Source organism: Homo sapiens, chromosome 16 (assembly GCF_000001405.40).
Source record: "Homo sapiens chromosome 16, GRCh38.p14 Primary Assembly".
NCBI lineage: Eukaryota > Metazoa > Chordata > Mammalia > Primates > Hominidae > Homo > Homo sapiens.
Window position 1 is genome coordinate 15,493,526 of NC_000016.10, and position 27,941 is coordinate 15,521,466.

A 27,941-nucleotide genomic window follows, 5' to 3' on the forward strand; every position below is an offset into this window, starting at 1 on the left:
AGCCACATCTCCCTTCTGGTGTGGATTTTCAGTCCGACATGAATGCTTCCAGATTTGCTTCCTTCCTTCTTCTGCCATGATCTGACTCTCCCTCTGACTTCACATTGAACTGGACCCGTTCACGCCTGCACACATCCTGTTTTTCCCCTGGCTGCTCTTCCCTGCGTCCCCCCTCCGCAGACCACCCTCATTCAGATGAGGATATATCCCACCCTATTTCTTGGGCTTACCTTTCTGAATGAAAATAATGTTCCTGGTGCAATTTATCTCTCCTGTCAAATTTCCAGCCTGCAGGGAATTAAATGAGGCACATGATTTTCAGGCTAAGCAGTTTTTAAAAACTGAAATATTACTTTAGACAGGCCCAATTTATTTTCCTCTGGATTCTCATCATTTTAACCCCGCCAAGCACATGGTTTTAAGCAGCTCCATCTGCTCCTCTAACCATCCTTGCGTGACCTGGGCCCTTGACTGACTTCTGAATTGGTTTGTAAATTGGAAGAATTAGGGAGTCGGTTAAGATGCATGAATCATAGCTCAGGATAGATTTATAATTGTCTGTTTTCATGAACTCATTCTGAGATTGCAGGGATGGGGGATATTTCAGAACAAATGGACCTTGAGTAACAGAATGAACCTACAGAAGTGCCGAAAAAGATTTGTTGTTTATGCAATTTTAACCGGGCAATTGTTGTTATTATAGGTTTATCAATTTCCACAATTTTAATTCCACAGCCCTAATGATTTGCTTTGAATTAGGAAGTATATACTTTATTCTCTCATATGGTCCCAAAGGGCCTTAGAAAGCAATCGGAGCCCTTCTGCTTGTCATTGGAAGAAATATGACAGCATGGTTTGGTGATTCATTGAAGGTCACTTTGAAGTGTTGGGGAGAGGACACTGAGTAATGTAAAATGACATTACAATTTGTTAAATAATTTGCCGGAACTCTTGTGTCATCTCTTTCAAAGTCTCACCCTGGAAATAACACACACGTAATTCAAATGCAATCTTTCTGGAAGTCCCACCTGGGAACTGCAGTCCCAATCTGTGGCAAAGTCTTGTGAATATCCTTAATGTGATAAAACTTTGCCTTAGACGGAGTTTGCTTTTTGGAATAACCAAAGTCATTCTGGGCCAAGGTGTTTGAATAAAGTGGTTGATCAAATGAAATTTAATGTAAAGTTATTTTAACTGCTTTTCTTGAGTAACGCATAAACTGATTTGAAAGCAACAAAGAATTTGTTTATTACTACCTCTCCTTATTCCAGAAAGGACTTAATGATCTTATTGGAGCCTTAAAAAAGTTTTAAAAGGCTCAAGAAATGTTGGTAAATTTCCTTTTTTTTATCTTTTTTTTTTTTTTTTTTTTTTTTGAGAAGGAGTCTTGCTCTGTTGCCCAGGCTGGAGTGCAGTGGCTCGATCTCAGCTCACTGCAATCTCTGCCTCCCGGGTTTAAGTGATTCTTGTGCCTCAGCCTCCAGAGTAGCTGGGATTACAGGCATGCGCCACCACCCCTGGCTAATTTTTGTATTTTTAGTAAAGGTGGGGTTTCACCACGTTGGCCAAGCTGGTCTCGAACTCCTGACCTCAAGTGATCCGCCTACCTCGGCCTTCCAAAGTGCTGGGATTACAGGTGTGAGCCATCACGCCCGGCCTAATTTACTTTTATTATTATTATTATTATTGTTGTTGTTTGAGACGGAGTTTCGCTCTGTTGCCTGTTGCCAGGCTGGAGTGCAGTGGCGTGATCTCCACCTCCTGGGTTCAAGCGATTCTCCTGCCTCAGCCTCCCAAGTAGCTGGGACTGTAGGCGTGCACCACCATGCCCAGCTAAGTTTTTTGTTTTTTGTTTTTTGAGACAGAGTCTCGCTCTGTCACCCAGGCTGGAGTGCAGTGGCATGATCTTGGCTCACTACAAGCTCCGCCTCCCGGGTTCACACCATTCTCCTGCCTCAGCCTCCCAAGTAGCTGGGACTACAGGCATCTGCCACCACGCCTGGCTAATTTTTTGTATTTTTTAGTAGAGGTGGGGTTTCACCATGTTAGCCAGGATGGTTTCAATCTCCTGACCTCGTGATCTGCCCACCTCGGCCTCCCGAAGTGCTGGGATTACAGGCGTGAGCCACCGCGCCTGGCCTACTTTTATTATCTTAATATCACTCTTCTCATTTCTCTTCTCTAAGCCTAATATTAGTATTTGTGGACATTGCAGGTGGGACACAAGACCTTTGGTGCTTCTCATCTTCCAAGAGGGCACAGAATGGGATGGTGTATGAGGTGGGATATTCCCAGCCAAGGGAGTTCTGGGAGGGAGGTGAAGTTGGGGCAAAGAATTCCCATGGGCTAATGTCCTCTGTGCTTCCCCAACCCTAGTTCCAGCTGATGTGGAATTCTGAGTTTGGCTGCTTTTTCTTTTGTTGATGGTGGTGATGGTGGTGGTGGCAATGATGATGATAGTGATGTTGATGGTGGTGGTGGTGGTGATAGTGGTGATGGTGATGATGAAAGGGGTGGTAATGATGGTGGTGATGGTGATGATGACAGTGATCGTGATGATGGTGATGGTGATGGTGGGGATAGTAATGATGGTGATAATGGTGATAGTGATAATGGTGACGATGACAGTGATGTGCTAGTGATGGTGATAATGACAGTGATGGTGGTGATAGTGATAGTGGTGATGGTGATGGTAAAGATAATGGTGATAGTGGTGATGATTATGATAGTGATAGTGATTATGGTGAGGATAGAGACAGTGATTGTGATAACTGACATTCACCAAGTCCTCACTGTCCTTATGATGTACCAGGCACCACATTAAGAGCCTTATATACGATCTGTCATTCAATCCTCACTGCATCCAAGGGTACCCTCTATTATTATCCCCAGTTAACAGGTAATGAAGACTGAGGATTGGGAAAGTTACATAACTCACTTACCAGCCACACAACTAGCTATTATGAAATGAACAAATATTACAAGCTAAGGATTAATAGACCCACTTTACAAGGGAAATTTTTTTTTTTTTTTGAGACAGTCTTGCTCTGTCACCCAGCCTGGAGTGCAGTGGTGCGATCTTGGCTCACTACAAGCTCCGCCTCCCGGGTTCACGCCATTCTCCTGCCTCAGCCTCCCGAGTAGCTGGGACTACAGGCGCCCGCCACCACGCCCGGCTAATTTTTTTTATTTTTAGTAGAGACGGGGTTTCACCATGTTAGCCAGGATGGTCTTGATCTCCTGACCTCGTGATCTGCCCGCCTCGGCCTCCCAAAGTGCTGGGATTACAGGCATGAGCCACTGTGCCAGGCCCACAAGGGAAATTTTTTAAAGTGGAAACTCAGAGAATTTAAATAACTTGTCCAGGGGCACAAAGCCAGGCAGGGGCAGAGCCAGGCAGGGGCAGAGCCAGCCTTTCACCATTCACCATTGCTGGCTTTGAACATGAAGCAAGGGGCCATAAGCCAAGGAATGTAGGTGGCCAAGGAATGTAGAAGCTAGAAAAGGCAAGGAAACTCATTCTTCCTTAGAGCCCCAAGAAGGACAGGCAATCCTGCTGACACTGTTACCAAAACACCAGGGGATTCGTCTAGGTCCTGCTGCTCACTGCACAGAAGGCCGACACTGAGACAACAATTATTGCTAAGGAAGGAGGCTTTACTCAGGTGTTGCAGCCAAGGAGCCAGTAACTCAGTCTCACATCCATCTCCCTGACCAACTAAAATCAAGGGTTTATACAGCAGGGAAGAGATGTAACAATGTGTAACAAAACAGGAACTTGGGACGGGCAAGGAAGCAATCCCGATGAATGAGGGGTCTGGCATCTCATTGTCTGGATGCTGTAATCTGGTGAGTTTCAGTTCTTTGATACTTATTTGAGAGGCAAGGAATTCCCTCCTGAGGAAGGAACTCAGATAAAACAAACTTTAAGTTTCAAGAGTTAAGACCAGAAAGGTCAATTTCTATGTTTATCAAGAAAGAAAAAAACTGTCTATGGGACTACTTGTGTTGGTTTCAACACCCTGATTTTCACGTCCGTTGGGCCTCTGTCCTCCAGAACTATAATAAATGTGTGTTGTTTTAAGCCACTAAGTTTGTGTTTATTTGTAACTGAGACACAGATTGGCATTTTTTTCCACTGTCACCCCTCTTGCCTTGTATCATCAGTTGTTAGTATTTGTTTTAGCTGGGGAGGCAGCTGGAGCATGAAGTCAACAGGAACAATGATGATCTGCAGGGAGGAAAGCCCTAGGATGGCGGGATAATCCCCATTGTGCCCCCTCATCATTAGCCACAGTACTTGGCTGGCATTTGAGCAGAGTGGTTATCACAGCAGCGTTCACTCTCCTGCCCCCGGGTTCCTGTTCTTCCCTCTCTTCAAGAGCACTCAATGCATATCTCTCCAAACCAGTGCTTCTCCACCTTTAATGTGAGTGATAATAGCTAACATTCAGCACACTGTGCTCAATGTGTGAATCCCCTCACTTAACCTCCATACCAACCCTTGAGATAGATGTTATCATTATCCTTCCCATTTCAGGAAACTGAGGCATAGAGTGTTTAATGAAGAATCACCTGCTTGAAGGGCAGCTTGCTGGGTCTCCTCCAGGGAGATTTTGATTCAGTAGGTCCAGGAGAAGCCCAGGTAGATGGATTTTTTTTTTTTAATCACACCTAGGTAAGTCTCATACCTGTGCCCTGGGAGCACAATAAAAAAACTCTGGGTTTAGGCTGTGTGCAGTGGCTCATGCTTGTAATCCCATCAGCTTGGGGGTCTGAGATGGGAGGATCGCTTGAGGCCGGTTTAAGATCAGCCTGGGTGACATGGTGAGACTCCGTCTCTACAAAATTAAAAGGACGTGATGGTGCACACCTGTAGTCCCACCTATTCAGGAGGCTGAAGTGGGAGGATTGCTTGAGCCCAGAAGCTTGAGGATGCAGTGAGGTATGATCACACCACTGAACTCCAGACTTGGTAATAGAGTGAGACCTTGTTTCAGATAAAAAGAGGAAAGGAAAGAAAGGAAAAAAGAAAGGAAAGGGGCAAAAGGAAATGGGAAGGGAAGGGAAGGGAGAAAGGAAGGAAGGAAAAAAGAAAGAGAAAGGAAGAAAGAGGAAGGAAGGAAGGGAAGATGGAACTAAGGAAGGAAGAAAGGAGGAAAGAAAGAAAAAGGAAGGAAAAGAGAGAAAGGAAAGAAGGAGAAAGACTCTGAGTCTAAACCCGTGGTTTTCAACAAAGGGTGATTTTGTCCCCCAGGGGATACTTGCCAGTGTCTGAGGACATTTTGGGTTGGGGAGAGGATGCTACTGGCAGCCAGTGGGCAGAGGCCAGGGATGCTGCTGCACAGCCTACAGTGTTTAGCACAGCCCCCAGCACAAAGAAGCGTCCAACTCCAAATGTCAAAGCACTCACAGGCTATGGAGCAGCAGTGAGATGAAGCTCTTGCTCTAGCCTTGGCTCCTGCACTCAGAATGAGTCTTCAGATGTTCTCAGATTACACTTCCAGAGGATTAGGCTGGAATTTGTCTTTCTTGTGAAAGAAACTCTTTGTCTCAAGTGTTGGGTCCTCCCAGGATTCCTCCCCAAATGGGCTATCTTAGTTTCTCCTCTACTCCTCAATCTCACCTCTTCACCTTCATCCTTATTTCCTATTTCACTGCAAAAGTCAAGGGCCCAGCCTGGCCAACATGGTGAAACTCTGTCTCTACCAAAAATACAAAAGTTAGTCAGGCGAAGTGGCAGGCACCTGTAATCCCAGCTACTTGGGAGGCTGAGGCAGGAGAATCACTTGAACCCGGGAGGTGGAGGTTGCAGTGAGCCGAGATCACACCACTGCACTCCAGCCTGGGAGACAGAATGAGACTCCATCTAAAAAAATAAAAATAAAAAACAAAAAAAAAAAGTCAACGGCATCAAATGCTCTCCTCTGCTCCCTTTGTCATTTCTTTGTACTTGGACCTCTTAGATCTTGGACTTCTATGAGGTCACAGAGGAAGAGCATGTTTCCAGAAAGAAATTCCTACAATCAGCCAGTTCTGCATAATCTTGTGGTTCACGAGAGGGGAAGGACCACAGCTTCTCCTTGAGTCCACCTGGGAAGGGCATCTGTGGACACCTTCTCTCTGCCTCCCTTTCCTTCCTCCCAGTTCCTTCCTAGAGGGATGGTGTTTGATTTCTGAGGCCCTGGACATTTCTTCCAGCTCATCATTCAGGTTGTTCAGAGCATTTGGAAGACGAGCTTTTCTCTTGCCAACACTGACCGCCTCTTGCGGGAAGATGTCGCAGCATTATTATTTAATAACCCGTGTCTTTCTTCAGCTCATCAAAGACCTTCCAGCTCCAGATAAGGAGTCGGGGTAGGGAGTAAGGAAACAAAGGGATGAGGGTACAGGAAAATCCCAGCTGCCCCTTATCACACAATCAATATATTCAATCAATATAGTTAATAGCAATGTGCCAATGTCAGTTTCTTGGTAAAGTTAACAAATAGTGGAAATTGAGTGAGGGGGGTAGAGGGGAATTCTGTTGGCTCTTTGCAACTTATCACTGCCCATCTCCAGTTTTCTGGTGCCTTTGCTCAGATGCTGCTGTGGAGTCCCCTCCACAGAGATACCTGTGTCCTTCTCCCCACCTTCCTGGCTCCCAACAGACTACACTGCCTGAGAGAGCTGAAGTCAGGCATTCATTCTGCAGGGGATTCTGGGTCACAGCTGAGCCAGTCCTATTAGGATTTAGGGGGCAGCCGACCTGTGGGGCCTGCACCGCACACACTCCTTCTAAGGGTTTCCTCACAGTCCCTGCTGAAGGGGAGGGTCTCGTGTGACCTGTGGCTCCACCCAGGTTGAACGTGCTGAGGCCCTGACCAAAGGCAGGGCCACCCATAGGCTGCCAGGGGCTGGAGGTGGGACGAGAGGGTCCATCAGAAGTCCTTTCATGAGAGCAGTTAAGAGGGAAGCAGAAGAGTCCTGAAATGGAGAAACACCTCAGGGAGACAGAATCTTTGAGGAAGGGGAAGGTATCAGGGAGAAAAGAAAGAAGGAGATGAATGGAGGGTCCCAGGATGGTGAACAATGACTTGGGACTTGGGAGCACTTGAAATGTGGCCATTCCAAATTGAGATCTGTTCTTCCTTTATTTAGTTTTGAGACGGAGTCTCACTCTGTCACCCAAACTGTAGTGCAGTGGCGCAGTCTCGGCTCACTGCAACCTCCATCCCCCAGGTTCACGTGATCCTTGTGCCTCAGCCTCCCAAGTAGCTGGGATGACAGGCACGTGCCACCAGACGTGGCTATTTTCTGTATTTTTAGTAGAGATGGGGTTTCACCATGTTGTCCAGGCTGGTGTCGATCTCCTGACCTCAAGTGATCCACCTGCCTCGGCCTCCCAAAGTGCTGGGATTACAGGCGTGAGCCACCGTGCCTGGCCTGAATTGAGATCTATTTAAAGGGTAAAATATACATACTGGACTTAAGACTTCCATACTCCCTCCAAAAAGGATATAAAACATCTCATTCGTATCTTTAATATATTGATTACATTTTGAACTGATAATCCTTTAGATCTATTGGATTAAATAAAATATGTTAGTGAAATTAATCTCGCCCATTTCTTTTTATCTTTTTTTTTATTTTTAAGAGACAGGGTCTCGTTGCTATGTTGCCTAGGTTGGACTTAAACTCCTGGGCTCAAGTGATCCCCCTGCCTCAGCCTCCAGAGTAGCTGAGACTACAGGCATGTGCCTCCGCACCCAGCTCTTTTTACTTTTTTTTTTTTTTTTTTTTTTTTGAGATGGAGTCCGTTCTGTCACCCAGGCTGGAGTGCAGTGACTCGATCTTGGCTCACTGCAACCTCCGCCTCCCAGGTTCAAGCGATTCTCCTGCCTCAACCTTCTGAGTAGCTACGATTATAGTCACCTGCCACCATGCCCAGTTAATTTTTTTTGTTTGTTGTTCTTGTTGTTCTTGTTGAGACAGAGTCTCCCTCTGTTGCCCAGGCTGGAGTGCAGTGGCACGATCTCGGCTCACTGCAACCTCCGCCTCCCCAGTTCAAGCAATTCTCCTGCCTCAGCGTCCTGAATAGCTGGGATTACAGGCACACACCACCACACCTGGCTAATTTTTGTATTTTTAGGAAGACGGGCTTTCGCCATGTTGGCCAGGCTGGTCTTGAACTCCTGACCTCAGGTGATCCACCGCCTCGGACTCCCAAAATGCTAGGATTACAGGCGTGAGTGAGCCACCGTGCTCTGCCACGGCTAATTTTTATATTTTTAGTAGAGATGGGGTTTCACCATGTTGGCCAGGCTGGTCTTGAGCTCCTGACCTTAAGTGATATGCCCACCACCCTTGGCCTCTCAAAGTGCTGGGATTACAGGCATGTGCCTCCACACCCAGCCTTTTTTATTTTTTAGAATGTGGTTCCTGGAATGTTCAAAATTACATATGTGGCTAGTGTTCTATTTCAATTGGACCGCACTGATCTATACATTCTCTCTTTTATGACCCCCGATTTACAGATAAGGAAACTGAGTCTCAAAGAGGTTAGGGCATTTGCCGAGGTCGGCCGTTAGAAAGATGCCGGACCATCTACTCATGTCTGCTTGACGCCAATGCCTGCGTCTTCACGTGCTGTTGGTGCGTCCTCCTGAATTACTTTTGTGTCCTTTGACACGTCAGATGTGGCTGGGGAAACAGAAACTCGCAGAAGTTAAAAAAATGTGCTTGAGGTGCCACTGGAGAATAACAATCATAGCCAGGATGTGAAGCCTGTCAGTTTCCTCAGCCGCAAATTCTTCCATGTGGGGCGACCTCACAGAGACGGGATGTATGGGACGGCGGAGTGCAAAGAAAGGTATGATCGCTCTTGGGGGCCCAGTGGCATCCTCTCCACGAGGCAGGCTGGGAGAAATCGAGCAGCCAGGAGCTTCTGGGTTAAAAGCAGTGACTTCATCTCTTTGGGAAACGGTGACTCATTAAAAGCAACGGGCGGCTTCCCATTACATTCACGTTATAGCAAGAAGGCGAGGCACTTGGTGCATCCCGTAATAGGATGCTTGGGGGTTGGAATGAGCTTCTTTCCTACATGAATGATTGATGACAACGAAGTCTAGAGTGCCACCAGGAGCCTTTGAAATGCATTCAGATATTGGCTCCCTGGTCATGGGGCGCAGATCTATTCCCTTGGGATTCAAGACTCTCTTTTGGGTCAATAGCAGCAACTGGCTTCTTGACAAAAGGCTGGAGGGGGCCCCCTCTAGATTCTCTTCTCAGGGCAGGCATGGGTCTGTTGGAGCTGCGGGGCTGTGGTCTCACCTAGAGGGGCCAAGAGATGGTCCCCATGACCATGAGTCTGTGTTCTTCAAATTTGATGGTGGCTCCAATTTTATTTTCTCCCCAGTGTTAGTCTGGCTTCTTTCAGGGAAAGGCACTGTGATGGCAGGAATAATGCTACTGACCACTCTTTGTGATGTCTAGGCACTACACCAAGCACATGTTGTATACAGTTGGTCCTCTGTATCTGTGGGTTCCGCATCCTTAGATTCAACCAATTATGGATGGAAAATATTCAGGAAAAAAATCCACAAATTACCAAGAAGCAAAACTTTGAGTATTATGCTGAATCTGTGTAAATGAAGTGATGTGTAGGCATCCTATTAGGGATTATAAGTAATCTAGAGATGACTTAAAGTCTACAGGAGGATGTGTGGGGCTTCTATGCAAATATTTCACCCTGTTATATCCGGGTCTTGAACATCCAAGGATTTTTTTTTTTTTGAGACGGAGTCTCGCTCTGTTGCCCAGGCTGGAGTGCAGTGGCGCGATCTCGGCTCACTGCAAACTCCGCCTCCCGGGTTCACGCCATTCTTCTGCCTCAGCCTCCTGAGTAGCTGGGACTACAGGCGCCTGCCACCACGCCCGGCTATTTTTTTTTTTTTTTTTTGTATTTGTATTTGTAGTAGAGACGGCGTTTCACCGTGTTATCCAGGATGGTCTCGATCTCCTGACCTCGTGATCCATCCACCTCGGCCTCCCAAAGTGCTGGGATTACAGGCATGAGCCACCGCGCCCGGCCAACATCCAAGGATTTTGGTGTCCAAAGGGAGGCCTGGAACCAATCCCACACGGATACTGAGGGACAAGTATATCATCCCATTTCATCCCTACAGCAGCAACTTCATGAGGCAGGAGTTATTAGTCCCATTTTACAGAAGAGGAAACTGAGACTTAGGGAGATCAAGTAATTTGCCCAGGTCGCACAATTAGTGATAGAGCCAGGGCTTGAAGCGACGTCTGTCTTAAGCCAATGACCCCTGCAGATTATTAGAGCAACTGTTCTCCACAACAGTGTAAGCCTCTTGCTAGAAGCTCAGGTCCACAAGGGCAGAGATTTTTGTCTGTTTTGCTCATTGCTCCTTCCCCATTGCTTAGAGCAGGGTCTGCCACGAAGCAGGTTCTCAATGCATAGTTATTAAATGTATATAAGAGCAAACATATGTTACAGAGAACTTTCTGTATGCTTGTCACTTACATGAATCACCTGTGAGATGGGTATGCTTGTTCCCCAATGTTGCAGATGAAGAAACTGAGGTGCCCAGAGTCACTGATGCATGGCTCAAGCGTGAGAGCTGGACTCTGAAACCCAAAAGCCCATGCCCAGAACCACTCCCCTCTCTTGCCCTCTTCAAGGGCTGGCCTGGCTCCCCATGGTGCCTGCACACGCCAACCCCTTTTCTTTTCTCTCTTCTTAATTTTAAATCTATTTTGCAAATGTAACATCTGACCATTGGTAAATTGCTAAAATTTCAATGAATATAGTTAATAACAATGCACCAATGTCAACTTCTTGGTAATGTTAACAATAGTGGAAATTTAATGAGGAGTAGAGGGGAATTCTTTATGCTCTTTGCAACTCTTCTTAAATTTTTTTTTTTTTTTTATTAAAGATAGTGTCTCACTCTGTCACCTAGGCTGGAGTGCAGTGGCACCATCATAGATCACTGAAGCCCTCAAACTCCTGGACCCAAGCGATCCTCCCACCTCAGCCTCCCAAGTAGCTGGGACCACAGCTGTGTGCCACCACATCTGGCTAATGTTTACATTTTATTTTTGTAGAGATGGGGTCTTGCTCTGTTGCCCAGGCTGGTCTTAAACTCATGGCTTCAAGTGATCCTCTTCCCTCAGCCTTCCAAAGCTCCGGGATTACAGACATGAGCCACCACATCCAGCCACATTTTCTAGAAATATAAAAGTATTAAAAAAAAAAAGTATATTTAAAAACCCAAACAAGAGAAAAGGACATATTAGGTGAAAGTTGATTCTCCCCCAACACTGACTCCCCCTACCTGAGTCCCTCATGTCCTTCCCTAAATGCAGCGGCTGTGACCCAAGTATATTCCAATGACTGAAATGAATAGCACCCCCACCCCCAGCCCTTCATTTAATTGCCTTTGTTATATGAGCTGGGTTGAAATAATCGCTCAAAATGGCTGATTCCTCTTTGAGTAGGACTTAACCCATGGCTGAGAATTGTCCTTCTAGCTTGAGTTCTCACTGAAGTTTGAATGAGAACCGTTTGTTGAGGGACCCTGGGAACCACATCTTGCCAAGTCATTTTACATCCTATCCAACACAGGTATGAGGCTGACCAAAACGTCGTTTAAGACCTTTCCAACGCAAAGGACTGGAATTCTATTCTACAACAGGGGATGGGATAGGTACCCCCAGTGGTACTTTCATGCTTGTACCATCAAACAGCAATGAATTTCCCTTCAGGAAAGCTACGCATTTTCTCCCCAATTATCAACCTTTTTGATTACCTAAAGGAGAAAGCCACAATTTGGTGCTAGCTTTGTCTTTAATGCCCCTAGTACTTGCTGATTCACCTTGTTAAGAAAGAAAATTCAAGCTTCATTCTGAACCTTAAGCAGGCTATAGTATTTAGCAAGAATTTAACAGTATTGCTTTGTTTCCTCAGGTTTATTTTCATGGCTATTTTCTAATTATGCCAAGTAAGAGTCATTTATTGTCTGTGGATGTCATGGGACATTTCCGTTAGGGAGTTTGAGTAAAAAAAGTCAATGTCGGCCAAGCGCAGTGGCTCACGCCTGTAATCCCAGCACTTTGGGAGGCCGAGGTGGGTGGGTCATGAGGTCAGGAGATCGAGACCATCCTGGCTAACATGGTGAAACCCGTCTCTACTAAAAGTACAAAAAATTAGGCTGGTGTGGTGGTGGGCGCCTGTAGTCCCAGCTACTTGGGAGGCTGAGGCAGGAGAATGGCGTGAATTCAGGAGGCAGAGCTTGCAGTGAGCCAAGATCACGCCACTGCACTCCAGCCTGGGTGACAGAGCGAGACGCCGTTTCAAAAAAAAAAAAAAAAAAGTGAATGTCATGACATACTGAGTGGTATATGACAGAGTACAGAATATGTAGCTGGGGTAAATTCTATGCAGTGTTGAGAGTTTTGGAAACACTGTTTTGTAGCTCTTTTGACCTTAGAGCATGGGCATTGGGATCAGATAGATCTGGGTTTGAGTTTCATTTCTACCACTCATTATAGCACTGCCCCAATTGCCCCTTAGAACTGATGTTTACGGTGTTTTGTTTTGTTTGAATAAACACAAAAATTTACCTTCCTAATCTTTTGTTTTTCTTTTTTCTTTTATTTTTGAGACGGAGTCTTGCTCTGTCACCCAGGCTGGAGTGCCGCGGTGCGATCTCTGCTCACTACAAGCTCCGCCTCCCAGGTTCACACCATTCTCCTGCCTCAGCCTCCCAAGTAGCTGGGACTACAGGTGCCCGCCACCACGCCCGGCTAATTTTTTGTATTTTTAGTAGAGACAGGGTTTCACCGTGTTAGCCAAGATGGTCTCTATCTGACCTTGTGATCCACCTGCCTCAGCCTCCCAAAGTGCTGGGATTACAGGCGTGAGCCACTGTGCCCAGCCCCCTCCTAATCTTAAAATTTTAGAAAGTTACATTCATTTTACCTGAGTTCCTTTCTCAAGAAACTGACCTCTCGGCCTTCCAGATAGTATTAAGGAATTGAAATTTACCAGATCACTATATGTGGACAATGAGATGCCAGACTCCTCAACCATCACGATTGCCTAACCAACCACCTGCATCCTGTTGACCAGATTCTCTTCCTTACCCCTTCCTAATAATTTCCCAGAAAAAAAAAAAAAGAATAGGGATGTATCACAATGTAACACATGGTTGCGTTTCTTCCTTGCTACCTCTAATTTTAGTGGGTTGAGGAGATGGATTTGAGTCTCTTTCCATCTCCTCAGCTGCAGCACCCAATTAAAGCCTTCTCTGGCAATACTCATTGCCTCAGTGATTGGCTTTCTGTGCAGCGAGTAGCAGGATCTAGACAGAACCCTTGATGTTGCTGCAACAATTGAGTGAGTGAGTTTGACCAATCACTTATGACCTCTCTAAGCCTCATTTTATTAATCTAGAAAGAGAGGTTGATATGAGCTAGATCATGGCTCCGGTAAACACCCAAAATGAGCAAGCTCTGGGGCCAGTACTAGGCACGTAAAGTTATAAAGCAGAAGTAAAGGCAGAGGTTGTGCAGGGCACCCTGAGCTTAAATTCCTACCATGACCCCTGATTGGAAAAGATGGGCTAGGAAAGGTATCTCTCTGGTCCCCAGCAGTTTAACCCTCCAAGCTTGTATTTAAACTAGAAGTTTTTAGATCACCAGCCCTCATCCTCTATCACCTCCACCACTCCTGTCCCTGGGTAGCCTTACTTTTTGTTTTGTTTTGAGATCAGTGATTAAACCTGCTGGTGCATACCAGGGCTGCCCGGGTGCTCAGCTCTTGTTTGCTGGTGCCACCGCTCAGGAAGCATGCATCTCCCTGGGGTGGCATTTGGGGATGGGAAGATGGATTTAGCTGCCTCTTCCCCCAGAAGTGACTCAGCTCCTGGAAGCTCAATGACAGCAGTGGCAGTTGGAGCCCTGGGGACGTCTGTGCCTTCATGCTTTGCTGTCTCCACACAGCAAGCAAGCTCTTGCTTGGAAGTGTGCGTGAGAGACTTGTTGTCTCTAGCCAGCTTGAAATGCTCCTCCCGTTTCTTCCCGTGATTTGTCCTCCTCGTGGAGACATTCCTTGGCAGCTGTCGGATGCCTGCCTTCTAGTTGGAAAATGTGATCAAGAAAGGAACAGTCTAGCAGGCTAATTTCTATCACACAAGTTCAGACTGGAAAGAAGCTGACTGTGTGTGATATTCATTTATTCAGGTCCTGTATCAGCATTTTTCACTCTGATCTGAAGACCTCCTTCATTAAGGTCCCTGGACACAACACCCCAACCCAGGTTTATCCTAATCCTTGGAGGTGGAGGCAGGGAATTGTTTCTTAAACAACCTCCCTAGATATTCACCTTGCCCACTGATGTCTGGGAATAACTACTCCCTCTGTGTCTAAAGCAATACAGTCTACTCAGTTTTGTTATGATGATGATGGTACTTACGTAGGGAGGTAGTTCTTACATGAATATGGTTGATTACAACAAGAGCTTTGGAGTAAGAGAGATCTTGTTTTAAATCTCACCTCCATCACTTACTCCCTTTCCTGAGCCTCGACTTCCCCATCTATGAAATGGGATAACAGCACTGACCACCCAGGGCTGTTTTGAGAATCAGATAAGGTAATGCACAGGTGCTGGCATGTGATAAATGCTCGATAAATGTTAGTTATTATCGTTACTGGGTAAACCTGGCTTTCCTAACTTTTAAACTGGAGAGATTACAGTATACCACCCAGGGAAGGGGTTGGCCAACTTTTTCTATAAAGAGCCAGGTAGTGAATATTTGAGGCTTCGTGGGCCAGGGAGTCTCTGTGGCAACTACTCAGTTTTTGCAATGCAAAAGCAGCCATAAATGACATGTAAATGAATGAGCGTGATCAGTGTCCAGAACAACTCTACTTACAACATCAAGCATGGGGCTGCGCTTGGTCCCCTGGCCATAGGGTATCAACCCCTGGCCTAAGGTATTGTGCAGACTAAATGAGATGAGATTCATTCCTGTAATCCCAGCGCTTTGGGAGGCTGAGATGGGCAGATCACTTGAGCTCAGGAGTTGGGAGACCAGCCTGGGCAACATGGCAAAACCCCATCTCTACAAATAGTACAAAAAAAGTCACTGGGTGTGGTGGAGTGAACCTGTAATTTCAGCTACTCGGGAGGCTGAAGTGAGAGGATTGCTTGAGCCCGGGAGGTTGAGGCTGCAGTGAGCCAAGATCATGCCACTGCAATCCAGCCTGGAAGACAGAGCGAGACCCTGCCCCACCAAAAAAAAAAAAAAAAAAAAAAGATGAGGTTTACAATGAGCCCAACACAGTGCCTGATGCAGAGACAGCTCATGGCAAGAAAGGATTCTAACGATTTGTATCTGATTCAAGCTTTAGGCTTCGTTCCTTTCTCTTGGGGAAGAAAAACATCCTTGAGCAAGACTTTTCAACATAGGTCTTTGTTCCATTCTTTGCCCCAAATCCAAGCTAAGCACCTGGAGCCTGGCACCACCGCCTCCATCCTCCCCCGGGGATGGAGGTAAAATGCCAGTTCCTGGGATGTGATTAATTCTCTTCGTCCCACGCCTCGCCCCAGGGTGTGTTGCCGTTTTCAGCATCTGTCCCATGGAAATCAGGTTGCCCATCTGAACTGTGATGAGAAAAACAAGGATACTCATATCGTGGGGTGGTTAACTACGCACTTTCGCAGGCACAAATGCATTCAGCCCTCACCAGGAGGCTGGATTACGTGGTTAAGGTCACGTGGTTGTGGAGTGGAAGGGGGGTGGGGGGGGAGAGAGAGAGCACAAGCTGGGTTTGAATACTATCTCTGCAATGATCTGGCTGTGTGATGTTGAACAAGTCACTTTCCTTCTCTAAGCCTCAGAGTCATCTCAGTAAAATAGAGATTAAATGAGATAATACACAGAAAGCCTCCAGCACAGGTAACTATTGAATTCTTGTACAGAGGAGGAAAGTGACGCAAAGACATAAAGGGACTCATTCGAGGTCTTGCGGCTGATGACTAGTGTCAAATGAGGATTTCTGACACTGCCCCCGCCTAGCTGTTTTTTGCCAGACCCCACTTCCCCCATGCACTTCCCTCACCCCCTGGTGACTCCCGCTGGGACCCCTGCTGCTTCCAGCCAAGGCTGTGCTCTGTGTGCAGGATCTCAAGCCCCTGGAGAGAGTGACATTGTTGTCAGGAAGCTTGCAAGGCTGTGGCCATTCATTCTTGTGGGTTTGTGGCCTCCTGAAGTTCATGTGCATCTTAAAACATCAGAATGTGACCTTATTTGGAAATAAGGTCTTTGCAGGGGTAATTCAGATCAGGATCCAGATGAGCTCACATTGGATTAGGGTGGGCCCTAAATCTAATGAGACAGAAAAGAAGACACACAGAGCCACCCGGAGGAAGAACCTGTGAAAACAGAGGCAGAGGTTGAAGTGATGCTATTACATCCAGTGGCAAAAACCGTAATTACTTTTGCACCAACCTAATACTACAAACCAAGGAGCCAGCAGGGGCTGCAAGGGCCAAGAAAAGATCCATCCCTAGAGCCTCTGGAGAGCGCGTGACCCTGCCAACACCTTGGTTTCCGACTTCTGGCTTCCCGAACTCCAAGAGATTAAATTCCTTTTGTTTTAAGCCTCCCCACTGGCCATGAATTGTTATGGCACCACGCTTGACTCTGAGATAGGAATGAATGGGGGGTGTCGGACTTAGAACAGCTGCCTGGACCAGAGGCAGCTGTGAGGGTCAAAAAGCATGAATTTGAAGCCAGACCTGGACTCAGCTCTTTCCCTTGCCAGCGCTGAGCCTTTGTTTCTTTGCGAAAATGAGAACCTACTGAACTTGCTGGCTTATGGCGAGGATTAAAAGAGGTGATGGGCAGAGCAGGTGCGGCGGTCATAACGAGGGCAATTGCAAGCATATATTAAACGTGACGTGCCGGGGTAATTCATCCCTCACATCTGTTTTGGGTGGTGGGCTCCCTTACAGAGGAGAAACAGAGCTGCTGAGAGGTTAACCAACTCCCCAAGGCCACACAGCCAGGGAGGGGCAGAACTGGAACTCAAACCCAGGCCATCTGATCTGGTAAGGCTGGTCTTCTAGCTTGGTAGCATCACAGCACACAGTAGCACTCAGTATTAATTATCTTTTTTTTTTTAGACGTAGTCTCACTCTGTCCCTCAGGCTGTAGTGTAGTGGTATGATCTCGGCTCACTGCAGCCTCTGCCTCCCAGGTTCATGTGGTTCTCGTGCCTCAGTCTCCCAAGCAGCTGGGATTACAGGCACCTGCCAGCATGCCAGGCTAAGTTTTGTATTTTTAGTAGAGACTGGATTTCACCGTGTTGGTCACACTGGTCTCGAACTCCTGACCTCAGGTGATCCGCCCGCTTCGGCCTCTCAAAGTGCTGGGATTACAGGCGTGAGCCACCGTGCCCAGCCAATATTAATATTTCGATCCTATTCCTCCCTCCTTCCCTCCTTTCTCAAGCCTGTCCTCACTGCTTCAATCCCAGGAGCCACCACAGCATGGTGTCAGGGACAGTAGTAGGACCCGAAATTGGATTCCAGGGGCCTTGAAGCATAACCAGATGGCCCCAGGAGATCTTTAGGCAGCACATCACATGAGACATTTCCTACAAATCCTCTGCAAACAGACATCGCTCCCTCTCCCCAAGCCACAGCCTGAGGTGGCTCCTCTGACCTCTCTCCTTCCTGCTTCTCTTTGACACTCCCTCCTCTCCCTCCACTGTGTCTCCCTTTTCACCCTTCCCTGGCAGAGGCTCGGCCAGGTGGCCAGATAATCTTCGGGACCCGCCATCTTTAGAAGGCAAGGAGGAGGTGATTGTGAATCTCTCCAATTTCATGTTTTTCCCATTCACCCACCTCCACTCTCTTCCTCCCACTTATACAGTTGTTCAGTGACCCCCTCTCCAACCCAATAGCAGATTCTGCACTATTTATGTTCTGCACTTATCTATTTCATGAAGTATTGTTGCTCCCTGAAAATATAAAAGAAGCACACATTGCTCTGAGATGCTGAACTCAAAGAGGAGAAAATCTTCAATAGGCTGATGACTGACAGGTCAAATATTTTCCTCTCCCCATATAATTGCTTGGCCTTTTCCATTGCCTTTGTTACTGTTTCTCTTGAAAACTGGGAGTTGTCAGGCCAGGCACGGTGGCTCGCGCCTGTAATCCCAGCACTTTGGGAAGCCAAGGCTGGCAGATTACCTGAGGTCAGGAGTTCAAAACCAGCCTGGCCAAAATGGCGAAACCCTGTCTCTACTAAAAATACAAAAAATTAGCCAGGCGTGGTGACATGCGCCTGTAGATCCACATACTTGGGAGGCTGAGGCAGGAGAATTGCTGGAGCCTGGGAGGCAGAGGTTGCAATGAGCAGAGATTGCATCACCACGCTCCAGCCTGGGCAACAGAGCAAGACTTGCTCTCAAAAAAAAAAAAAAAAAAAAAAAAAAGGGGGAATTGTCTCAGAGAGAATGAAGAGAGGCCATTCATTTCAATGTGAGAATCAACTCCAGAGAATTACCTTCTTTCTGTCTCTTTAGCAAAATAAGGTGTTTTGATTGGTGGAGGGGAAGCAGATAATTTTGGCACATGGAACGGACACATCACGGGGTAGGTAATGGAAAGGAACTCCAATTTACTGAGAATCCAACGTCTGCTGAACAACTCAGGGCCGGGAGAGTCCCACAGGTGGACAAATGCATCAGGTGGACTCCTAGAAGAGGGCGCTGTTCTATCTAGAGATCCAAGCAGGTAGGGACTGACTTCAGGGAAGCCTGCAAATCACAGCGCCCTAAACCCTGTGCACGTGTGCAAGGGCCAGGGCCCCAGGACATAGAAGGCAGTTGGACAGGTAGAAACAGGACAACTTTCTCTGGGCACAGTGACTCACACCTGTAAGTAATCCCAGCATTTTGGGAGGCTGAGGCAGGAGGATTGCTTGAGGCCAGAAGTTCCAGACCAGTCTGGGCCACATAGCGAGACCTCATCTCTACAAAAAGAAAAAAGAAGACCTGGTGTGGTGGCTCACACCTGTAATCCCAGCATTATGGGAGGCCAAGGCAGGCTGATCACTTGAGGTCAGGAGTTCAAGACCAGCCTGGCCAACATGGTGAAACCCCAACTCTACTAAAAATACAAAAATTAGCTGGGCATGGTGGCACGAGCCTGTAACCCAAGCTACTCAGGAGGCTGAGGCAGGAGAACTGCTTGAATCCGGGAGGCGGAGGTTGCAGTGAGCCGATATTGTGCCACTGCACTCCAGCCTGGGCAACAGAGGGATACTCCGTCTCAAAAAAAAAAAAGAGAAAAAGGAAAAAGAGAACAACTTTCCAAATCATGGGTATAAGGTATACCAACTTTCATTATTCCTTGAGTATAAGGAAAAAGACAGACGCCCTTGTAGAACTGAGGTGTGGGGTGGGCTCCATCTTGGGGGCGGGTGTGGAAGGAATTAGCAGATACAGATGATGTGATGGTGTCTCAGGGTACGCCAAAAACATCTCCTGCCCCGAGTCTCCCCCACTACCGATCAAAGGCCTTGAATAGCACATCACTTATATCTCAGCCATTCACCCTAGAAACATAGCCCGAAGGAACCCTGTAGATGTGTGCGAAGTTTTCACTTTGAGAACGTTCTTCACTGGAACATTCTTACGGTGAAAATAATTCTTACATTTTTTTCCTCATGATTACAGTGGGGAAAAAATAGGAAACAACCTACATGTCTGTGGATTGCTTAAGTGCTTCGTGATACAGCCACAAATAGAAAACCGCCCCGCCTTCCATGCTGCTGCCGAGGAAGACCATCCAAGGACAGGCAGGAGCGCTCAAGGCATGTTGCTAGGTGAAAAGAACACATAACGAAATAGTGAGGTCCTAACTTTATATTAGAAAAATAAGACCTACATCACAGTGGATATATGTATATGCATATAATAGTATAAATATACATTCACACGCATATATATTAACATTTTAACTGCTAACATTTTAGTGGACTTTTTCAGTCTTTATAAAGTGTGTCTGCCCAGGCGCGGTGGCTCATGCCTATAATCCTAGCACTTTGGGAGGCTGAGGCGGGTGGGTCATGAGGTCAGGAGTTCAAGATCAGCCTGGCCAACATGGTGAAACCCCATCTCAACGAAAAATACAAAAATTAGCCGGGTGTCGTGGCATAAACTTGTTATCCCAGCTACTTGGGAGACTGACGCAGGAGAATCACTCGAACCCGGGAGGTGAAGGTTGCATTGAGCCAAGATCGTGCCACTGCACTCCAGCCTGGGCAACAGGGCGAGACTCCGTCTCAAAAAAGAAAAAAAAGTGTGTCTGTGTATATTACACATATTATATATATAAAAAACCACATATATTCATATATGTATATACACACACATATTTATATATCCGTATGTATGCTCACGCTTGTAATCCCAGCACTTCAGGAGGCCAAGTTGGGAGGATCGCCTGAGGCCAGGAGTTTGAGACCAACCTTGGCAACATAGTGACACCCCCATCTCTACAAAAAAATAAAAATTAAAAAGTTACCTAGGTGGGCCTGTAGTTCCAGCTACTTGGGAGACTGAGGCGGAAGGGTCCCTTGAGCCCAGGGTTCGAGGCGGCAGTGAGCTATGATTGCACCACTGCACCCCAGCTTGGATGACAGAGTGAGGCCTAGTCTCCAAAACAAATGAAAAAATACTTAACACTACTTGGTAGTAGTATTACTATAAGATAATTATGATAAAACTTTCTTCTGCCTAGAGTCGGCTGGTCTTAGAGGCTTAGACCACAGGGCAAAGTGGTCGTGGTCAGGGGGAGCAGAGGCTTAGAATCTGGGACCAGGCAGGAGCTGACAAGGCCTTAATCAGGCTTTTGTGAGCCCACTTGTGAGCCTCCACTAGCCATCATAACAAAGTTCCCAGCCAGGCGTGGTGGCCTCACGACTGTAATCCCAGCACTTTGGGAGGTTGAGGCGGGCGGATCACTTGACGTCAGCCTGGCCAACATGGTGAAACCCCATCACTACTAAAAATACAAAAATTAGCCGGGCCTGGTGGTGTGCACTTGTAATCCCAGCTACTTATAAGGCTGAGGTGGGAGAATCGCCTGAACCTCAGAGGCAGAGGTTGCAGTGAGCTGAGATTGAGATCACACCACTGCATTGCAGCCTGGGCAACAGAGCAGGACTGTGTCTCAAAAAACAAAAACAAGGCCGGGTGCAGTGGCTCACGCCTGTAATCCCAGCACTTTGGGAGGCCGAGGCGGGTAGATCACAAGGTCAGGAGATCGAGACCATCCTGGCTAACATGGTAAACCCCGTCTCTACTAAAAAATATACAACAAATTAGCCAGGCGAGGTGTCGGGCACCTGTAGTCCCAGCTACTCGGGAGGCTGAGGCAGGAGAATGGCGTGAACCTGGGAGATGGAGCTTGCAGTGAGCCGAGATCGCTTCACCGCACTCCAGCCTGGGCGACAGAGCCAGACTCCGTCTAAAAACAAAACAAAACAAAGCAAACGAAGTAAATTACTTTGGAAAACACATTTTCTGGTTCCCAAAGGGTGTGCTCACGAATACACATTTGTGGCACAGGCTGAAGTCTGTCCTCAAGGTGTATGATGGTCGCAGAGCAAGGCTGTGCCCTGGAACCATGTCAGGGTCTGTCCCATGGTGCAGCCTTGGGGTCCTGATGGTTGTATTTCCTGTCTCCTGCACAGATCAGCTGGACATCATCTCCATGGCGGAGACAACCATGATGCCAGAGGAGATTGAGCTGGAGATGGCAAAAATTCAGCGTCTCCGGGAAGTCTTGGTCCGCCGGGAGTCTGAGCTCAGGTTCATGTGAGTGTTTTGGGGATGTGGCCAAGGAAAGAAGTGTGTGGAGGAGAGAGGAAAACCTAATATTTGTTGATCGTCTACTGTGTGCCAGGCACTGAGATAAAGGCATTATGCACGTTTTTAAAAGCCTCATTTGATTCTCACCACCACCCAGGGAAGTGGATATTGTCATCTCCTGTTTTAAGCAAGACCCTGAAGTTGGAATTGAATTCAGGCCAATCTGACTCCAAAACCTTTGTTCTTTCTGTATCACCCACGGGGAAGAAAGAGGGAAGGGAATGCAGAGGCTGTACCCTGTGCTGGTGTCTTTCACGAGCGCACACTCTGCTCTCAGATAGGCCTGAGTTTTTTTTAAGCCTGTCAGCTTGGGCAGGTTACTTGGACTCTCTGAATTTCAGTTCCCTCATTTCTAAAATGGGGAAAAATAACAAGATGGGGTCTCTAGCAACATCAGAGTCACATGGGTTGAACGTTCATTATCTACAGAGCACAGCATTCCTGAAGAGTTGCAGGTAGTCTTTCAAGACAAACTCTCATTTAAAAAGTTGGGCTCTGAGTGTGTGGTGGTGCACACCTGTGGTCCCAGCTACTCAGGAGGCTGAGGTGGGAGGACTGCTTGAGTCCTGGAGTTCAAGGCTGCAGTGAGCTATGATCGCATCACCACACTCCATCTTGGGTGACAGAGAGAGGCACTGTCTCTAAAAAGCACAAATTAAGGCCAGGTGCAGTGGCTCACACCTGTAATCACAGCACTTTGGGAGGCTGAGGCGGGATGATCGCTTGAGCCCAGGAGTTCAAGACCAGACAGGGCAATGTAGCCAGACCCTGTCTCTACAAAAAATAAAATTAGCTGTGTGTGGCTGTGTGTGCCTTTGTCCCAGCTACTCAGGAGGATGAGGTGGGGGGATCGGTTTAGCCCAGGGGTTCAAGACTGCAGTGAACTATGATCATACCATTGCACTCCAACCTGGGAGACACAGTGAGAGCCTGTCGCTAAAAGAAAAAAATTAAAAATACAAAAAATATAAAAACATCAAATTAAAATGAAAAAGTTTTTTTAAAAATTGGGCTTTTGCCGACAAACAGTGAAAGGTTACAAGCAAAACCAAACCAAACCAGAGGTTAAGAGGCAACCTGGCTGGAAAATTCCCTGCGCTGCCTGTCAGCTCACCCACCCACCCACCCTCCACTGGAAGCAGCAGGAACATCAAATCTTTTAGGCAGGCTAGGCCCCTCCCCTATTCTTTCACTGATTTTTCACAACACCAAGAGGCTGAGTCTGTGATCATCCCATTTTGCAGATGAGGAGACTGAGGCTTGAAGAAATGAAACAGCCTGCCCAAGGCCTCCCAGCTAGTAAATGGGGAGTTAGGGTTCAGACTCAGCTCTTTCTGCTTTTAAAACACCTCTTCTTTATAAATTTTTAGTTACTTATTTAGATAAAGGGTCTTGCTCTGTCGTCCAGGGTGGAATGCAGTGAGGCCGTCATAGCTCACTGCAGCCTCGAACTCCTGAAAGCCCATACTCTCACTGGGACGTTATATGACCTTCCCTCTCGCCACATAAAATGAACTGCAGTATTCACAGCTGTCATTTATCCAGCCCTTTGCATGTGCAAGACCGTGAGCTAAATGCTTCCCATGCATAATTCCTTTTCACAGACATCTCTGAGGAAGGTTCTAGAACATTTCCACTTCATGGCTAAGAAATATCTTCCCTTTTGTCTGGAAATAAGCTAAAATGATACGTGAGCATTCAGAAACAATCCTTTCCTCCCTGTGTTTTAAAAGGAAGACAGAGAGGCCAGGTGTGGTGGCTCACATCTATAATCCTAGCACTTTGAGAGGCGGAGGTAGGTAGATCACTTGAGGCCAGGAGTTTGAGACCAGCCTGGCCAACAGGGCAAAAACCCGTCTCTAGTAAAAATACAAAAAATTTAGCCACGTGTGGTGGCGTGCGCCTATAATCCCAGCTACTTGGGAGGCTGAGGCACAAGAATCATTTGAACCTGGGAGGCGGAGGCTACAGCGAGCTGAGATTATACCATTTCACTCCAGTCTGGGCAACAGAGAGAAACTATCCCAAAATAATAATAAAATAAAAGGAAGACAGAGAACATGAGTCTTGCTTTTAAGTAATCAAGATCAAGATCCCTTTGTTTAAAAAAAAAACTACAAAAATACAAAAAATTTAAAAATACAAATACAAATTAAAAATTTTAAAAATATATATTTATTTTTATTTACCTAATGGTGCTGCTGCAGGAACAATGGTTACCACTGTGCACTTACTGACCTTTACTGTGTGCGCGTGTGTGTGGATATTTGTGTGGATGTGTGTGGATGTGTGTGGATGTGGATGTGTGGATGTGTGTGGGGGTGTTCGTATGTGGGTGTCTGGATGTGTGTGTATATGTGTATTGTGGATGTGTGTGTGTGGATGTGTGTGGGTGTGTGGATGTGTGTGTGTGGATCTGTGTGTGTGTATGTGTGTGTGAGGATGTGTGTGTGCATGTGTGGGTGTGTGTGTGGATGTGGGTGTGTATGTGTGCGTGTGGATGTGTGTGCATGTGTGGATGTGTGTGTGGGTGTGGATGTGTGCGTGTGTGGATGTGGGTATGGATGTATGGATATGTGTGTGTGTATGGATGTGCACATGCCTGTCACTTAGCCCAGGCTTAAGGACAAGAATAACTAGCATTTCTTAAGAGGCAGCTCTGCAGTAAGCTCTTGACTTGTGATCTCATTGAATGTCCTCATCTAGCCCATGAATCTGACCACTTAGGGACAAATGTCAACAGTAGACCCTAGGATAAATCAAATTATCTAAAGGATACAGAAGGACCTGAGTGTTGTTAGGACATAGATCAGGGATTCTGTGACATTTTCCAGGGGAGGGACCCCCTTCCAGGCCCCCAGATGTCTTGCTGGAATGGAGTCCTACAGACAGTATTGGATGGTGATGACGCTCCCCAACCAGGCTCAGCCTTGTATGGTGTGTAGCTTGCCCAGTGGTGCACCTGCCTCATCAATCTCAGAGATAGACGGTGGACACTAAGGCAACCAGGACAAAGGACACAGTATGCTCAGATCTGCACAAAGTCCTCATCCATCATCCTCAGCCCTCCAGGCCAACAGGCTTTGAGCCAAGGCCCTGCTTGAATTCACTTTCTTGGCTGTTCCTCAGAGATGGTTTTTCCCGAAGCTGTGGGGCTTATCCTGTGAGTGTGTCCTGTTCTTATCTCCATTTTGGATGGGAAGTAATGGGAGGTTACAAAATTTGCCTGATGCTGCATTAGCTAATAAGTAGCCAAGCTAGGATGCAGTCTGACTCCAGAATGTTTATTAAGTGAATCAGGGAAGGAGGGAAGGGAGTGGGAGAGAAGGGAGGGGGAGAGGGAGGGGAGAGGCGGACAGGGGAAGGGAGGGAAGGGAGGAAAGAAAAGGAGGAAGGAAGGAAGCTTTGAGTATAAACTACCAAGATAATTCCTTCAAGTTTATAAACTCCATGAGGGCAGAGACCTTATCCAATTTCCTCACAACGTCTTCCCAGCATTTGGAACAATGCCTGGCACTGAGTGTCATGAATATTTGTCAAATGTGCAATAAATTATTCTTTCTCACTCCATCCTTACCCCAACAATCCTCTTACACACACACACACACACACACACACACACACACGTGAGACACTCTTGGCACAGAGTAGGAGAGAAAAAAATTTCAGACCCTACTGATCATTTTCAGGCTCAGGCGAGGAAGCTTTAAGTGACAGGAATGTGACAGCCCTGGGCTGAAAGACTCCCGGTGGCCGTAGTGTAATAGCCGCGGTGAGATTTGTTTTGTCACACCTGCTGCGAAGTAATCACCTTAATGCCCATCAGCTGCTGCAGAGACCATGTGAGTCAGCCCCTATTTCATGGTTGAGAATGTGTCTCACTTCCAATGCTTCTCGCAGCATTAACTCTTTTATTTTTATTTCTTGTGACAGAGTCTCGCTCTGTCGCCCAGGCTGGAGTGCAGTGGTGCGATCTCGGCTCACTGCAACCTCCGTCTCCTGGGTTCAAGCGATTCTTGTGCCTCGGCCTTCCAAGTAGCTGAGACTACAGGTGCCCACCACCATGCCCAGCTAATTTTTGTATTTTTAGTAGAGACAAGGTTTCACCATGTTGGCCAGGCTGGTCTTGAACTCCTGGCCTCAAGTGATCTGCCCTCCTTGGCCTCCTTGGGATTACAGGTGTGAGCCACTGCACCCAGCCTGCATTGACTCTTTTAAGCATGAGTCCGGGGGGGACTGCCTGCCCCAGCCCCAAAGCTCTGGCACCCTCACATTTAGATTATTTCATGGGCTTCCTTTTTCTCAGCTGATTTAACTTGTCCTTTCCCCCAAGATCCACAGCCCCTGCCTGTTCTTCCTCTTTTCCTGCCACGACAGTGAGGAAGAAGAGGAGGGAGATTTCCCTACTCCCAGGGAATGGTGAGAACTCGGGAGATGTGGGATCAGAGGTCATCATCCTGGCTCTCTGACGTCCTTGGTCTGTGACCTTGGACACATGAGGGAGCACACAGAGTTGCTGTTTCCCGCGGGCACTGATATGCCACCCTGAGTGCTACGTCCCCTGCATGCATTCACCCCTTAATTTTAGCTTCTTGAGTCCTCGCAAGAACCCCAATAGAGTAAGTTCTATCTCTTTTATTTTATGAATGAGGAAATTGAGGTCGGAGAGGCAAAGTGACTTGTTCGAGGTCACCAGCTAGGATAAAGTAGTACCAGGATTTGAACCCAAGGTGTCTGTCTCGTGGGGGCAGAGCCCTTAACCTTAAGCTGTTCTGTTATCTTTATTCTCAATGCCAGGACCCCTTTTCTCTTTGCCTTACTCTTTTACAACGCAAGGACAAACCCCCGATTAGATGCCCCCAGTCCCACACTTGGTCTTGTCTTGTTCTGCAATGTTGAATTGTGTGTGGTGGAACTTGGACAGATTTTACTAAGTCAGGCTTTGGACTTTTCTGTACCATTGAAACTGACCCAATAGTCCCATCATAGATGTTCTTTTTTTTTTTTTTTTTTTTTGAGACAAGAGTCTCGATCTGCCACCCAGGCTGGAGTGCAGTGGGGCACGATCTGGACTCACTACAAGCTCCACCTCCCGGGTTCACGCCATTCTCCTGCCTCAGCCTCCCGAGTAGCTGGGACTACAGGCGCCCGCCACCACGCCTGGCTAACTTTTTTTTGTATTTTTTAGTAGAGACGGGGTTTCACCGTGTTAGCCAGGATGGTCTCGATCTCCTGACCTCGTGATCCTCCCGCCTTGGCCTCCCAAAGTGCTGGGATTACAGGCATGAGCCACTGCACCCGGCCCATAGATACTCTTTTGGATAAATACAGAAGTTGACCTTTCTGATCTTAAAGCTTGAAGCCCTCATTTGTCTTATCTGAGTTATTTCCTCAGGAAGGGACCCCCAGGCCTCTCAAAAAATATCAAAGAACTGAAACTCACCAGATTACCACATCCAGAGATGAGATACCAGACCCCTCATTCATCATGATTGCTTCCTTGCTCCTCCCGAGTTCCTGTTTTCTTCATGATTGCTTCCTTGCTCCTCCCGAGTTCCTGTTTTCTTATACATTGTTACATTTCTTCCCTGCTATGTAAACTCCTAGTTTTAGTTGGTCAGGGAGATGGATTTGAGACTGAGCTCCCATCTCCTTGGCTGCAGCACGCAATTAAAATCTTCCTTGGCAATACTCATCTTGTCAGTGATGGGCTTTCTATGCGGCGAGCAGCAGGACCTAGACCAAACCCCTGGTGTTTCAGTATCACCATTTCTCTGCACATAAACTGTTTATTTCAGAGACCAAAATGATGAGCTCCAATGCAGACAGTCAAAGTTTGTGAAGTCAGTCTGCTGGGAATGTGCTGTAGAAAAAGAACCCGGTTCCCGTAATAACTCTTAAGGCCCACAACAGTTGGCATTTACAGACCCCTTATTGTGGACCTAGGCTTGTGCTAAGCCCTTTACACACATGCTCACATAACC

The 27,941-nt window shown here is 47.0% G+C and overlaps 2 protein-coding genes and 1 long non-coding RNA gene across 5 annotated transcripts in view, besides 4 other annotated features; 2 read left to right on the top strand and 1 right to left on the bottom strand.

Annotated features, from left to right (window-relative positions):
- The window catches only part of MPV17L-BMERB1 (MPV17L-BMERB1 readthrough), a 192,506-nt gene that overhangs the window by 97,772 nt on the left and 66,793 nt on the right, over nt 1-27,941 (top strand). Inside the window, exon 2 of the mRNA NM_001414674.1 lies at nt 21,780-21,903. Coding sequence (NP_001401603.1) covers nt 21,780-21,903 — 124 coding nt within the window. The remainder of the gene's footprint in view (nt 1-21,779; nt 21,904-27,941) is intronic.
- The window catches only part of BMERB1 (bMERB domain containing 1), a 153,672-nt gene that overhangs the window by 58,938 nt on the left and 66,793 nt on the right, over nt 1-27,941 (top strand). Inside the window, exons 1-2 of one of the 2 annotated variants that reach the window (NM_001142469.2) lie at nt 8,769-8,851; nt 21,780-21,903. In NM_001142469.2, coding sequence (NP_001135941.1) covers nt 8,797-8,851; nt 21,780-21,903 — 179 coding nt within the window. In that variant the 5' untranslated portion in view covers nt 8,769-8,796. Of the gene's footprint in view, nt 1-8,768; nt 8,852-21,779; nt 21,904-27,941 lie in introns of those variants that run through there. The other variant, NM_033201.3, reaches the window with a different exon arrangement.
- Nucleotides 17-1,216: an enhancer, noted in NCBI's record as "P300/CBP strongly-dependent group 1 enhancer chr16:15587399-15588598 (GRCh37/hg19 assembly coordinates)". NCBI's record gives its function as "activates an origin of replication core promoter dependent on BRD2, BRD4, P300/CBP, MED14 and CDK7 cofactors, with strong dependence on P300/CBP, by STARR-seq in HCT116 cells {active_cell/tissue: HCT116}" and the evidence as "EXISTENCE:reporter gene assay evidence [ECO:0000049][PMID:35650434]".
- Nucleotides 8,767-9,061: an enhancer, noted in NCBI's record as "tiled region #1380; HepG2 Activating DNase unmatched - State 10:DNaseD, and K562 Activating DNase unmatched - State 5:Enh". NCBI's record gives its function as "activates a minimal TATA promoter and a strong SV40 promoter by Sharpr-MPRA in HepG2 and K562 cells {active_cell/tissue: HepG2 | K562}" and the evidence as "EXISTENCE:reporter gene assay evidence [ECO:0000049][PMID:27701403]".
- LOC105371102 (uncharacterized) lies at nt 11,195-27,486 on the bottom strand. 2 transcript variants are annotated; one of them, XR_933129.3, is made up of 3 exons: nt 27,401-27,486; nt 19,785-19,903; nt 11,195-11,234 (listed from the first exon to the last, which is right to left on the bottom strand). It is a non-coding gene; the product is annotated as an uncharacterized LOC105371102 (long non-coding RNA). The 2 variants fall into 2 exon arrangements; XR_933130.3 differs by lacking the exon at nt 11,195-11,234 and adding an exon at nt 15,459-15,673.
- Nucleotides 16,596-17,096: an enhancer, noted in NCBI's record as "H3K27ac hESC enhancer chr16:15603978-15604478 (GRCh37/hg19 assembly coordinates)". NCBI's record gives its function as "activates a minimal SCP1, AML or CMV promoter by ChIP-STARR-seq in naive H9 embryonic stem cells {active_cell/tissue: H9 hESC(naive)}" and the evidence as "EXISTENCE:reporter gene assay evidence [ECO:0000049][PMID:30033119]".
- Nucleotides 20,395-20,566: a silencer, noted in NCBI's record as "fragment chr16:15607777-15607948 (GRCh37/hg19 assembly coordinates)". NCBI's record gives its function as "represses an EF-1alpha promoter that drives an FKBP-Casp9 reporter gene in an ReSE screen in phorbol 12-myristate 13-acetate-treated (for megakaryocytic differentiation) K562 erythroleukemia cells {active_cell/tissue: K562(+PMA)}" and the evidence as "EXISTENCE:reporter gene assay evidence [ECO:0000049][PMID:32094911]".